The sequence below is a fragment of the Homo sapiens genome, chromosome 2, assembly GCF_000001405.40.
Source record: "Homo sapiens chromosome 2, GRCh38.p14 Primary Assembly".
In the NCBI taxonomy this organism is placed as follows: domain Eukaryota; kingdom Metazoa; phylum Chordata; class Mammalia; order Primates; family Hominidae; genus Homo; species Homo sapiens.
In genome coordinates this window covers 168,111,790-168,126,524 of record NC_000002.12, presented here as the reverse complement: position 1 = coordinate 168,126,524, position 14,735 = coordinate 168,111,790, and the positions used below count along the sequence as shown (strand labels likewise).

Sequence of the window (14,735 nt, the reverse complement as noted above, 5' to 3'; positions counted from 1 at the left end):
ATGATCATCCTTATGGGAAACTTCGTGTAGACGTGGCTGCTGGAAAGTAAATGTGATTTTAATCACCCTGTGCAATGAAATGAAAACGTTTATTGTAGGATTCTCTGCTTGTCTTAGGTTGTTCCAGTGTTTAAGTAACTTCTGTTTAAGAATTGGTTCAGGGGAGTCGTTAATTTATTTGTTCTTAGACTGTCTTGATTGAGATCTCAGCCATTCTCCTCTTCACTGTGGCGCCTCCCAGTTGATCTTGCTCTGGCTTCTGTGGTATAGATTGCTCCTCAGAGGCTACTCGTTGATGTTGATCCATTGATTTTTGTCTTATCAGTTCGCTGTTTTTCAAAGAGAAACAGACAGTCCATTGACACATGAGTGTTTAAATGATACCTGGGCCTGTGGGCAGGGCTCTTGGGCATGGAGGCAACCATGTTGATTAGAAATTTGCTGTCATAAACAGCATTCTCTTCTCCTCTCTTCTGCTAACCAACATTAAGAGATAATTTTCAATGTGCATTTTTCTTTAATGTGAACAATTTTCATATTTAAAGGAGAAGAGGGGCTGGTATTGTGGCTGTTCTTAGAAAGCCCCATGGAGCCCACCAGTGCTGCCCTTTAGCAGGAGAGAAGCAGAGGCCCGTCATACTCATGTTTGGCCAAAATGTGATGTTTTTGTTGGGAGCCACATAATTCCACGAGGGTAGGTGATCTTGTCTTCATCCGGATTGACTCCTCTAAATCACGAAAAAATAGAAAATGGAAAAAGATCGACATGGCCTCTTTGGTAATTTAGTATGCAAAACATTTTTTTTGGGTGTGTGGTAATTGTAGAAACTGAGGATATTTATTTTCTTCCTACAGGCAGAATATTTGGTCCATTCTGGGTTCTTTTGCTGACAGTGTTGTTTAGGGATCATCTTGATTTTCTTTGGCTCTAGTCTGAGGGGCCCAGGCATGTGGTGAAGGGTAATATAAGATTGGATGTTCCTGGACCTCAAGACACTCTATATATTCTAAATGAGAACATGCTAGTAATGACCCATGAGAACAGAGCTAAGTGCAGCTGTATAACTTTTTTTTCAAGTTTTCACTATCTTTGTGCATGAGAATAAAAGGCTTTGTAGCCATCGCTGCCTCTCCTGTGACTTTCTGAGGGACCTGTCTCCAGCCATGTCTTGGGGTTTGAAAGCTTAACCACGTGGTGTTCCATCTTTTACTGTACTGAATTCATTAGGTGGGGAAGGGAGTCAATGGTTCAGTTAAAATTGAATGTAGATGCTTAGGGCTGTGTGCATCTTCTTTTTTTTTTTGATTATCAAAATCAGTTCTTATTATATCCTTTTCTTTGTATTACAGACAGTATCTTGCTATTTTTACCCATGTTTCACATCAACTCTTTTGTTTTATTATTATACTTTAAGTTCTGGGATACATGTGCAGAACGTGCAGGTTTGTTACATAGGTATACATGTGCCATGGTGGTTTGCTGCACCCATCAACCCATCATCTACATTAGGTATTTCTCCTAATGCTGTCCCTTCCCTAGTCCCCCACCCCCCTACAGACCCCAGTATGTGATGTTCCCCTCCCTGTCTCCATGTGTTCTCATTGTTCAACTCCCACTCATGAGTGAACATGCAGTGTTTGGTTTTCTGTTGCTGTGTTAGTTTGCTGAGAATGATGGTCTCATAATCTGTGTGCATCTTCTACAGGAACATTTAACCCTCAGAATTGGCTGATGTCTAAGTTTTATGTTAGTGATAACATACTTGAGGCACCACACTCACACTCATATTCATATGCTTTCTGTGGCTTTCTAAAACCAACATATGGGTTGGGCGCAGTGGCTCACACCTGTAATCCCAGCACTTTGGGAGGCCGAGGTGGGAGGATCACTTGAGGTCAGGAGTTCAAGACCAGCCTGGCTAACATGGTGAAACCCTGTCTCTACTAAAAATACAAAATTAGCCAGGCGTGGTGACACTTGCCTGTAAACCCAGCTACTCGGGAGGCTGAGCAGGAGAATCATTTGAATCCGGGAGGCAGAGGTTGCAGTGAGCCAGGATCGTGACACTGCACTCTATCCTGGGCAACAGATCGAGACTCCGCCTCAAAAAAATAGAAATAAAAAATATAACCCACATATGGCAGGACAGAGGGCAAGGGGCTCGTAGCTATGCAAATGTCTGAATGCTCACTGCTCATCCAAAAAACATATTGGCCATAGGAGGGAATGAAGAGGAAACATGTAATAGGCAGTTCTTTCCCTTCTTATGGTTGCCTGTGTTTTCACTGGAAGTAGATTTACTGGAGGGTTATTGCTTGAACTTTCTTAATCATGAAATTAAGTAAGCAATTAACTAAACAGTACAATGTTTAGTCATTATCAGAAGGAGGTAAAGGGTATCACATCGCTGCTGTCTTTGGATGGAACCGCTGTGAAGTGGAAAGACTGGGATGTTATTTGTGGGTCCCAGAATTTCTAATATTAGGCTATGAGATTGGTTTCATGCCAAGGCCCCAAGGCCCTTGGCCCCACTGGATCCACTGATATGCTTAGGAATCAGTGGGTAGGAATATTTCAATTCACATTTATTTAATACTTACAAGTGTTGAGAACTTGTCCTGTTTGTTTTTAACTTTTTTTTTTTTTTTTTTGAGATGGAATCTCGCTCTTTTGCCCAGGCTGGATGAAGTGCAATGGCGTGATCTCCACTCACTGCAACCTCCGCTTCCCAGGTTCAAGCGATTCTCCTGCCTCAGCCTCCTGAGTAGCTGGGATTACAGGTGCCCGCCACCATGCCCGGCTAATTTTTATATTTTTAGAAGAGACGGGATTTCACCATGTTGGCCAGGCTCTCTTGAACTCCTGACCTTAAGTGATCCTCTGACCTGGGCCTCTAAAAGTGCTGGGATTACAGGCATGAGCCATTGGTGCCTGGCTTGTTTTTACTTTTTCTTATGAAATAATTTCAGACTTACAAAAAAGTTAGAAAAATAGTGCCAAGAATTTTCGTATGTGTTTTCTCTTACTCTTTATTTTGAAACATTCCACAGTAGGTTGCAGACAGAATGCCCTTTACCTCTAAATATACTTCACTGTATATTTCCTAAAAACAAGGATACTCTCTTACCTAGCAACAGTACAGTTTTCAAAATTAGGAAAAGAACATCGATGTAATACTATTATTTTTTAGATCTTATTTGAATTTTGCTACATTTGCCAATTTTCCCATTCATGTCATGTATCTGGTCCAGGATTCAGTTCAGAATTATTGAGTTGTTACACCTCCTGTAGTCTCTTTTAATCTAGAACAGTGTTTCTTTTCCCATCTGTGACTCCTTTGAAGAGTATAGGCCAGTTATTTTATAGAATGTCCCTCCGTTTAGGTCTGTGTGATATTTCTGAATGATCAGATTCAGTTTATGCACTCTTTGATAGACATACCTCAGAAGTGATGTTGGGTTCTTCTCTGTATCATATTAAGAGGCACATGGTATTGATTTATTCCTTTACTGGCAACGTTCACTTTGATCATATGCATAAGGTGGGACCTTCCAGTTTCTTTATTGTAAACACAAGTATCACTTCTTAATAGGATGGATTTATTTACATTCACTGATTACATTAAACATTAAAAGATAAAGTGAATATATTTACTGTATTGAATCATTAATCTTTTTTCAAGGAAACATTTATACTTTATGTCATGGCTCTACATTCATAGGCTATTAATGAGGAATTTTATTGATAGATAGAATGATAGAAATCTTGTGTATAAAAACACCTTGTTGGCTGAGTGTGGTGGCTCACACTTGTAATCCCAGCACTTAGAGAGGCTGAGATGGGAGGATTGCTAGAACCCAGGAGTTTAACACCAGCCTGTGCAACATGGCAAGATTCTGTCTCTACAAAAAAAAAATTTAGCTGGGCATGGTGGTGTGTGCCTGTGCTTCCAGTTACACAGGAGGCTGAGTTGGGAGGATTGATGGAGCCCAGGAGGTTGAAATTGCAGTAAGCCATAGTCACACCACTGTACTCCAGCCTGGGTAACAGAGCAAGACCCTATCTCAAACAAAATCAAACCCAAAATGACAGTACACTGGATAAAGAAAATGTGGTACATATACACTATGGAATACTACACAGCCATAAAAAAGAACAAGATCATGTCCTTTGCAGCAACATGGATGGAGGTGGAGACCATTATCCTAAGCAAACTAGCACAAGAACAGAAAACCAAATGCCGCATGTTCTCACTTATAAGTAGGAATTAAGCACTGAGTAAACATGGACACAAAGAAGGGAACAATAGACATGAGGGCCTACTTGAGGGTGGAGGATAGCAAGAGGGTGAGAATCGAAAAACAACTTACTGGGCACCACACTTATTACCTGGGTGATGAAATAATCTGTACACCAAACCGCCACAACACGTAATTTACCTGTAAAACAAACCTTCACATGTGCCCCTGAAACGAAAATAAAAATTTTACAAAAACCAAAACAATACAAACCACTTTGCTAGCAGATTTAGGCAGGAAGTGGAGGTGCACCTGCTGCCCCAGTCTCTATGCCTGGTCTGGAAACAGCAAGAGCTATATCTGTATCTTTTGTTGGGTGAGCTGCCTAATCTCTCTGAGCCTAACCTGTAAGGCAGAGCTGACAATACTTACATTGTGTTGCTGTGAGGATGAGAGATGATCTGTGCAGGATGTCTGGTGCCGTGTTTGACACATAGCAGGTGCTCAGTCAGCAGTGGCAGTGTGATTGTCATGTAAATAAGGAGAATGATTATTGTGGCTACGGAAGACTGGACATTTTAGAAGTATGTAGTGAAATCAGGAGTGAAGAGAGTGTCCTGTAGGTGGGGTGGGGTGCAGATGGGTATTGAAGGTTGTTTCTGCATTGCCGTTAATTTGGGTGAAATGGAGGAAAAGCCTATGGATGCCTACAGAAAGAAGGAAAATAATTACAGTAGTTAGTTCATTGCCATTGCCTATTCACCTGTCTTCATGTTTTCTTTTCCGATCCATCAAGGTGCTGGCAGTGGGTGAGAACCAGGGCTTTCTTTCACTACAGTAAACCCTCCCTGCCCTGAGAAGGGGCGTGTATGTGTGAAGAGCCTAAGAGTAGTGAGAATTAAATACAAACACAGCCAATATTCTTTCACAGCTTTCAGATCACTTTCATTTATGCTTCCATATTTGTCCCAAACAATTGTTCTTGAAGACAGGTAGAGCAGGTGTTACTGTCACACTTTACAGATGGAAATGTGAGAGGTGAAAAGGACCTGCCCAAAGTCACATGGCCAAATAAGCAGGAGTGAACTCCAGTTCTTATTCTCAATCTATGCTCTTTCCACCAAATCATACCTCAGAATGAAGAAGAAGAGAACGGAGAGGACAGGAAGGAAATATAGATGGAGAAGGTAGGCAGAGTTAAGTGGTGTACACAGGAAAATGGGAGCGTATTTGTCATTCTCAGAGTGAGTCGGCCACCATTTAAATTGTGTGAGGAGGATGTCTGTGCTATTCACAGGCACTAGGAGATGCTACAGGCACTAGGAGATGCTGCAGGCATCATTGCAGGAATCTGGGAAGTTTGCCAGGGTTCTAGCAAGTGTAGAGGGAAGGAGGTGACAAAAAGGCTTTGGAGATTATGTTGGGGAGAGAGATGGCTAGTGAGAGTTTGGTTAGCATCAACAGTTGTTAGATACCGTCAGAAGCTCAGCTTCTCACTCATGAAGTGGTAATGGTAATAATAGCTATGTTTGGGAGGACTAAATTAGGTAATACATAATATAATAGTGGTTGGGACAAAATAATAAGTGGCACAGGTTATAGCAAAATTTTTTAATAATCACATATATTGCTTTTATTACTATAGTTATTATAGTCCAGATTGTTTTTGTAACATTTATGATTGCTGCCACAGCTGTGGGCACCCCTGCTGCTGTTCCCATTTCTGCTGCTGCTAGAACAGCTGTTTCCATTACAACCACTGCTACCAGTAGTGGGCACTCAGGTGCACATGATACAAGGACATAGCACAGACAGTGAAACTCACCTTTCTGTGAAGAACGCACAAACGTCACAAGACATGCAAAACTCAAAGAGTAATAGAGAATAAGCGCTTTGGTATGTGGGCATAGCATCTGTGCTACAGCTACGGGAAAGGTCATGAAGCTGGTAGATGGGGGACATGTGAAGGGGGAAGAGAGAAAAACGATATTTATTGTGCACCTTTATGCATCCTGCTAGATGCTTACGTCACATTTATCTCAATTACTGCAGCCATACAACAATCAGTAAAGTTCTGAGTATAAGATATGTTAAATAGGTTAGGCCAGAGGATAAGATACATTAGACTATTAAGAATGATTTTTAAAAAGCTATAAATATTTTGAAATACCAACAGAAAAGGAAAAACCATCTATTAAAAGTGAGTTAAGCTATCCCTAAAGGGTTACAGGATTTTAAAATTGAGAACCACAAATATCTCCTAGTTTTCCATGCTTCTGTGTACAGGCCTGAAAATTAAGGCCTAAGGAGGTCGAGCCTTAACCAAGGCCAACTGCATCATCATGTCCTAACAGTCCAAAGCCAGTATCCCAGTTTGTTACCATTTAGTTTCTTCTTTTAGTCGATAAAGAGGGAAAATTACCCTGAGTTTCTACAGAATTGCTTTTTTCCCCTCCTGGAATCTTATAATTAACTTATAAAATATCGAAGGTTATGCATTATCATTAAAGCAGAGAAGAGAGAGTGATTTCAAATGCTTGATGGAATGATGTTAGTTTTGTTCCAAGTTTTCCCAGTAGAGGGCAGCAATGGGTTTTAAGTCTGTGCCATTGTGGAAAGCTAACTGAGCAAAAGTTTTGGCTTTGTCGAAGGCCTCAGACTTGGAGTTGAGGGATCAAAGGGGTGTTAGGTCCCTACTGAGCCATGAACAAGAGACACCTTAGTCAATTAGGGTGCTACTTTACTGGGCAGGAGATTGAAGGGTGATGGTTTAACGACTTTTCACTATTACTATTTTTAAGTTATATTTTCTATTAGCAAATCAAAGCAATCTACCATTTGCATTTTACATAATTCGTGTCAGAAACAAACATCTCAATTTTGAAGATGGGATTGGAGAGCTTCCAGTATTTTGTGGTCTCAAGCTATTTTTAGAAAATTCTTTGGTTTCTGCAGTTCTCCTTAGAGCTTGGTAAATACGGGTAGAAGAGAGTCAACATGTACAATAATAACAGTGAAGGAGAAGTGGACCCACTTCCGCAGTTACCGTGCATATTATGGGTTTAATATAAAATACTCCCAGTGATCCACATCGGCCTGAGTGCACATGTCCTCTCTCCACTTTGTGTTTCCTTTTCCCATCCTCTCGCTTAAAACCGACCATGTGCCTTGGGAATAAATCTCATTGAGGAACTCACATGCTCACAGGGAGGAGGGCAAGGGTGGTTGAGGATATTATTTTTCCTATTTTAGAGCTGAGAGAACAGTAGGCCAGAGAGGTTAAAGTTACTGATTTCACTGGGGCTGTTACAGGGACAGGCGTTCACAGAGTGTGAGCTCATTGGTGTTTTCACTGCTTTTTTATTTTAAATTCTTTGCTTTTTAGTTATTTGAGAACTGAGAGTTCCTTTGGTCAGAAAAGAGCTTTTGGTCACTAGGGGGTGCTATTAGAACAGTTCATTGACTAAGAATCTGGACAGGAATTGCTTACCAGTCTGTAAAAAGCCTTGCAGCCGTAGATTTTTTCCTTTTGCTCTGTGTCTGTGGCTTGACTGGTGTTCGCACTGGGGGTGAATTAGGCAGAGGTGAGGGTAGAGGAAAGAGCAAGGGGGAAAAGCATCTTACAGAGTTACTTTCAATTCATTTGGTGAATTGAGTTGTTGTTTTTTTTTTTTTTTTTTTTTGAAAGCATATGTTCTGGGAAAGTGACTCCTTTCTGGTTGCCTTTGACTGGGAGCTGAGAGGATCCACTCTGGAAATTGTAATTTGCTGATCCCCATTTAGGGAGAATGTCTTTATTTTTAGATTGATCTTGAAAGACAGTGAGCTGTGTAAACTTTCACAGACTTGGAGGTCCAGTTTTGGATATTTAGAAATAATGACACATACTCTGAAATTATTGTAAGAGATACTGTTTCTACAAATTTAGTTTGTAGAAAACTAATTGTTACTGGAAATCACATCCAGTTAGATTTGTGAGGTCTGGATAGTCTTCAAACATATTATGTGCTTCCTTTTTGCCTTTGGGAAATTTGCTAACTTTTCCCAAAAGCTTGCGTGCATGAGCTAGCTTTTCTGGAACTGAAGTGGCGTGTTACTTGCTGAGAGAAGCTCCCGACTGCCTCCTCCTCCTCCTCCATCTGTCCATGCAGTGCTCCCCGAGCATCCTGGTAACCTACTAGGTGCTGACCTTCCCTACGGTAGGTGGCCTTTATTCAGCCTCTCAGCTCCCTCTAATCCTAGTGTACCATTTCTTTCCTTTCTTCCGAAAGGAAAATAATTTGGCTAGAGTTGCGGAAAAACTAATATAAAATATTGTCAGTAAATGCCCTTTTGATCTTGTCAAAACTCTACTATAGTTGTACTGTCTTTTCTCCCTGATTGAAAACTCAATGGCTTCTTGTCATTAATAGGATAAGATACAAGTTCCCGCCACTTATAAGATGAGGTGCACATCACTTGGAGGTAAGGGATCACTCCAGGGTCCCATGGTCTATGTCTCCAGGCTTTCTCTCAGCCACGGGCCACCTCGGCCTTCAACACATCTTTACCAAATTAGATGTGTTTGGTAATTGTACTTTTCTACCAGTACACTCCTGAAATCCCCACATGCACCATGAAGGCCTCTCCCTACACTTGTATCTCTCCCAGCCTAGCATCTTTTCTGTGAAGCTTTCTGATACTACCCTCCCAGCACCCCAGGAGGTTCATCAGTCTGTTCTCTGTACTACTCCTTACCTTGAGCTTAAATATGTTGTTGCACTTGGTGTCATTTATAGCTTACTTTCTGCTAGTTTTACCTTCTGTAGCCTACTATCAATTCTTGTGGAGCATGGATGGTGTCCTTTTATCTCTGTGTTCTCAGTACCCAACATAGTATTTTGGTCAATTAGTAACTATTTTTCAAATTGAAGTTTAGCAAGCAAGATGGTGATGAGGATCGTCTTCATGGGAGCTGGTGTGAGAGTGCAAGGGGAGGTAGAGGAAATCTGCTTTTAGTTTTAAAGAAGAATAGTTAAGATATTTTTCAGCTGGTGCTGTATTCTTGTATTTGAAGTCTGGGACTCAGGGTTTAGCCGAACCTAAATTTAAAATCAACTTTGTTAGCACCAACTTGTTGAGAGTCTTGAGTGAGCCATTAACTTGATTCACCTTTGCCACATGATCATAGAATGGAATGGTTAGATATTATTAGGTAATAATTGTGAATTATGCACTTTGTATTATTTGACAACAAAAATGTAGTCCCTACCACTCAGCATATATTGACTATTGTCATTTTCTTCTCTGAGCCAGGATGCACATACGTTTTCCTGTTACCTGAAGCTGCATTTAATTAGGAAGATATTCCAAAAATAGCTTTAAATTAGGTTTTAGTACGCTCCACTTTTGGATTACCTTTTACTTATTTCCTCACTTAGGAGAAATAATTTAAACTTTTTATATCATGATCCTGCAAGTCTTTAAAATGAGTAAGATGTTTTGGAGTAGGGAAGGTGAAGGAAATGGAAAGTAATGGCACTTTTATGCATCACGGGGAAAGGAAGGGTTCTATCATCTGTGGGAGGAAGGCAAATGTTTGCCCCTCTGCCCTGGCCTCTTAGGTTGTGGTCATTCAATCACAGGGAATGTGGAGAGGCCAGCAGGGGGTGTGGTACATATGTTTGAGACATCATTGTTGGGGGTCGGGAGTCTGCTTGTTTTAGGCTAATCAAACTTGATTGACTTAACAAAGATTCAGGGCTCTATTTATTTTAAAAGGCCAGAAATACCTTGTTTTTAAAAATATATTTTTTTACTTTGAAATCCAGTAGTTCTAAAACAAATTAAAATTCAAGGGACTCGATTAAGGTTGCACTTTGATATAGAATTTTCTAAGCTTTCCATTGAATTACTTCTGACACATTCAAATACCGATTTAGAAGAGTGTCTAATGACTTTTAATTTTGTTCTTCACATATAGACATATACAAAATTAAGGCGCCCTTGTACAACTTTCACAGCAATCATAGAGCTGGGAAATGCAAACAGTAGCCTTTAATTTAACCCAGATTGAAAAGGCCAGTTGAAGTTGTTTTGGGTGAGGGGTGGGCTTTCTCTGTGACTTTGTGGAAAGCTGTGAGAGGCAGATGAAGGAGAGAAAGGCTCAGGAGTAGCTCTTGGTCAGGAAGCTGGGACCATAAAAATCTATGCTTGAAGGTTAAGACCAAGCTTTGGCTCTTGAGATAGACTCCAGCCAGCCCTGGCTCTACGACCCACTCATGGGGTAACCTTGAGTGGCAGCTGAGCTCCCCAGTGCCTTGTCTGTGACATGGAGACTGTTCAGTGGCTTCTTGTTCTTCTTGGGCAAAAACTAAAATCTTTAACCGGGGTTCCAGTGCTTCGCATGGTCTAGTCCCTTCTTCGCTCTTCAGCCTTGTCTTGCATTCTCCACCCTCAGTTCTCTATTGTCCACTTGCCCATAGCCCTTGTCCATGTTGCTCTTCCCCCTGGAAGTGTCAGCTCTTCTCATCCTGAGCAGACCTCAGTTTCAGCTCAAAGAGTCATTTCTCCAGAAAACAAAGTTGGAATCATGCCATATTTATTGTCCTGCAATCTACCTGCAATTTCATTTAAGATATACCTTTGGACATCTTTTTATGTCAACAAACATAGATTAGCGTAATCAAATGGCTGCATGAAATTCTGCAAGAATGACTATAATTAAGAATCAATTTTTTCTTGATAAATACTAGATTGTTGCCAATTTAGAAATCGTTAACCACACTGGGATGAACATCATTGTACTTGCATTATTACATAGATGTTACCTATTTTGTTAGTCTATTTCCTAGGAACAGGATTGCTTGGTCAAAGAGTATATGGTTTATAATTATTGACACATATCACCTTACATATGTTTAAAGTGGGAGGTGTTATGTTTCAAATCCCAGCCTGAGTCTCAGGTCCATCATCTGTAGAACATTACTTATGTATACACCCATGCACATGGGTGCATGCGTATATATGCTTAATTCAGTGCCTAGCATATGGTATTTAATATTATTTATTTTTGGCATTGGAATGTTATCCATGAACATTTACTTTATTTCATTTTTTTTCCTAGATCTACAGTTAGCTGTTTTGTAGAGAGAATTCCAGATCTTCTGGTGGTTCTGCAACCTTGAGACTTTCAGTACTTTAGGAGAGATTAGATTATACGAGGTACTTCAGGCTAATTGACCTAGAGCCTATTATGTAGATCCCAGCTTAGGGTCCTGAACTCTTGGGGCCATTAAAGTTAGTTAGGAGAGAGCCATTGGTAGTAAAACGTATTGAAGCCGTTTTGTTCTGCAGTCTGTTCTTGGACACAGACCGAGTGTGCAGTGTTACAAGGTGTTTTGCCCATTACTCTGTCACTGTAATCTCTTCTGTCCAGAACAAACAAGTGATAAACCAGCTGCCTGCCTGAAAGTAAGACCACGCCGTTTTCATCATCCCCTGGCTTCTGGTTGTAGATGCTTGTTATGAGGTCCGATGTCAGCCATTCATGCGGTGCCAGGTGTTGGTCATGACCAGTGCCTACACTCAAGGATAGCACTGCAGTTTCCATAATCCTATGATCTTAACCATTCATAACTTTTAGAGTTGAGAACCCTATTTTTCTTTTTTCCTGAACCATTGCATTGTTTTTAAAAAGAACGTATAACCTTGAGATTACAGCCTCACTGGCCCTGGGCTGGTTTTGAACCTCATGTAATCACATGGCTTCTCTGAGCCTCGATTTCCCCACCTTCCCAACCTCCAAGGGTTTTTATGAAGTTGAAATGTGACAGTTTATGTAAAACACTTATGCAGATTATAACAGAGATTCTAAAAATGCTTTTTTTGCCTTCTTCTCCCTTCCCTCATTGTGCGTCAGGGAACATTTTGTAAGGAAGGAGTTGTGTATTATACAAGTGAGCATAAGGAAGTATTTAAATGTCATGTGAGAATTGTCTTTTATTTTCTTAAGGAAATTATTGTCTAAGGTTAGTGAATTTCATCCTGCTCTTTCGTTCTTCCTTCCTGTCTCTGTAGAGCACAATAACCCAACAGCTACAACCTCATGCTTTAGATAAAACTGTTCTTGCTCTTCTGCCAACATACACAGTCCTAGAAGTTTCCTTAAGGACTCTGAATTACTGAAGCTTACTTGGAACTCTACCATTTATTTTTGTTTTAATTGTATGATTTCTGATTTCTTAATTTACTGATGAATTTTTAAGTTGAAATTAGAAAGTTAGCCTATTGAGTGTATTTTTTAAACAGTTACAATGAATGCATCTGTTTGAACAAAGTAAACATTTTTGGTAATAAATGACATCTGAATCAGCTCGTCTTCCTCTGACGTTTTCTGTGATATGTTATTTCTATGGGGTCTCTCCTGCTTTTCTCTTTACCTTATCAAGAGATATTTGCCTGTCCCCCTTTTCCTGACAGAAGCTTCATGCCTAGTTCAGTGGTTCTGAAACTTACTGTGAGATACCTGGGCCCTTTAACCAGACATTCACATTCTACAGGTCTGGGGACAGGATTCAGGACTCTGCATTTTTAATAAGCAAGCCAAGTGAGAGTGGTGCGAGTGACTGAGACAGCCTCTGTGTCTTGTCTCCTTGTTGGAGAGGAAGCCATATTGCTAAGTTCACTTTACAAAAAGAAAAATCTGGTAGTCCTGCCATGTGATTATATAGCTTTAACAAAAATGCCTATATTTCACAAGCTACTTTCCTCTCTTTGCCCACTGGCCCACCTCACTGTCATTTATAATTCTCTTTTTTCACTCTGAATGTCACTGGAGCAGCCCTTCCTAGTTGTTGCATGTAATATGTATCTTATCTGGTAATATTCCATGTGTCTTCGCTGTGTTACACTGTGTGAAACAGAGCTGCAATATTTATCTGCTTAAACAATGGCTTCTTTTGGTATTGTTTGATAGGTCTTATATTCATTATTAAAGTGGGCATATCTGTCTCCAGAGAGCTCTGACTTTACTAGCATTATTAATGTGGCACTCATTTACCATTGACATTGTGCTCCTTTCTTTGATGTATAATAGAGGGGGGGATGTGACATTCTAGCTTGTGGAGGAGGCAAGATGGATGAATTAGCCTTTGACATATCCTGGTATGGACATAGAATGGTGTGGAGAGTTTCTATTTAGACAATGGAGAAGAGGGCTGGGAAACAGTTTAGGGCTCATTTTATAGGAGAGTTTCTAATCATGGAAGCCGGGCAAAGATGAAATAGACTGGAACTGCAATCATAAAGGATCTCTAGAACTGGAAGATACCCTATTTGTCCTTTCAACCAGAGCTTCCCACCCAGTGGCCAGAGCACACTGGTGGACGGTGAGTAGGTATAGTGAGCCAGGAGAGTAATCCCCTGATCCCTCAGGGCAGCTGGATGAGGCCTGGGATGAATGACATTCTGGGGCCAGTTGCTGTGAATCACTTCATCATTTGATTCTAGTATGTTGTATAAATATCATTTTCTATGTGCGCCATGAGGTAGACAAAGGTTGTAAAACAATGGTCCAAACCGCTGGTATTAAAATTCTGTGAACCATTAAAAAAATCTTACTGGAAGTTCAAAATTTTGAATATAGGGGTTGTATTAGTTTGTTTTCATACTGCTATAAAGAACTACCTGAGACTGGGTAATTTATAAAGAAAAGAGGTTTAACTGACTCACAGTTCCACATGGCTGGGGAGGCCTCAGGAAACTTAAAATCATGGTGGAAGGTGAAGGGGAAGCAAGACGCATCTTACATGGCAGCAGGAGAGAGAGAGAAGGGAGAAGAGCTACACACTTAATCAAACAACTAGATATTGTGAGAACTGTGTCATGAGAACAGCATGGGGGAAACCACCCCCATGATCCAATCACCCCCAACCAGCCCCCTCCGCTGACCCGTGGAGATTACAATTCAAGATGAGATTTGAGTGGGGCTGCAGAGCCAAACCACATGAGGGGTTTTTGAAGAACCTTAGGAGTCCCAAGAGTCCAGTGTGAAGACCACTGCTCTGAACCTGTCCTCTTGGAGTAGAGAGGAGATACTGAGTTCTGTAGAGATTGAATGGATTTTTAATAGGTGACTAAGATCTGGATTTCCACTTTTGGCTCCTGGTTCAGTGTTTTTTTTTTTTTCTTTAAATGTTGCTTAAGCTGAAACTAGATGATAAAAATAAGAATTAATGGATTGTAAGTTAAAGAGCAGGGACCATCCTAATTGGTCCTCGCTCTTCAATGCTTAACATGGTGTATGCCAAAATAGTTGCTGAGTAGTTGTAGGTCAGGTAAAATGACTGTGATGGGACTTATTCTGTCCATACTGGGAGGTTGGGCCAGATGTGTTTCAAGCTTCCTCCAATAAAGATCCAGTGAGGTTTTTATATTTATCAGTATTTAGATGGAGGGTGGGCAGGTTTTTTTCTGTGGAAATTGAGAATAGCAAAAGCTCTTACATTGCATATCAC

The 14,735-nt window shown here is 40.6% G+C and overlaps 1 protein-coding gene across 8 annotated transcripts in view, besides 1 other annotated feature; it reads left to right on the top strand.

The window, feature by feature from the left end:
• STK39 (serine/threonine kinase 39) overlaps positions 1–14,735 on the top strand; it is a 293,574-nt gene that overhangs the window by 121,071 nt on the left and 157,768 nt on the right. The gene's annotated exons all lie outside the window — the stretch shown is intronic.
• Positions 9,624–10,163: an enhancer, noted in NCBI's record as "NANOG hESC enhancer chr2:168972872-168973411 (GRCh37/hg19 assembly coordinates)". NCBI's record gives its function as "activates a minimal SCP1, AML or CMV promoter by ChIP-STARR-seq in naive H9 embryonic stem cells {active_cell/tissue: H9 hESC(naive)}" and the evidence as "EXISTENCE:reporter gene assay evidence [ECO:0000049][PMID:30033119]".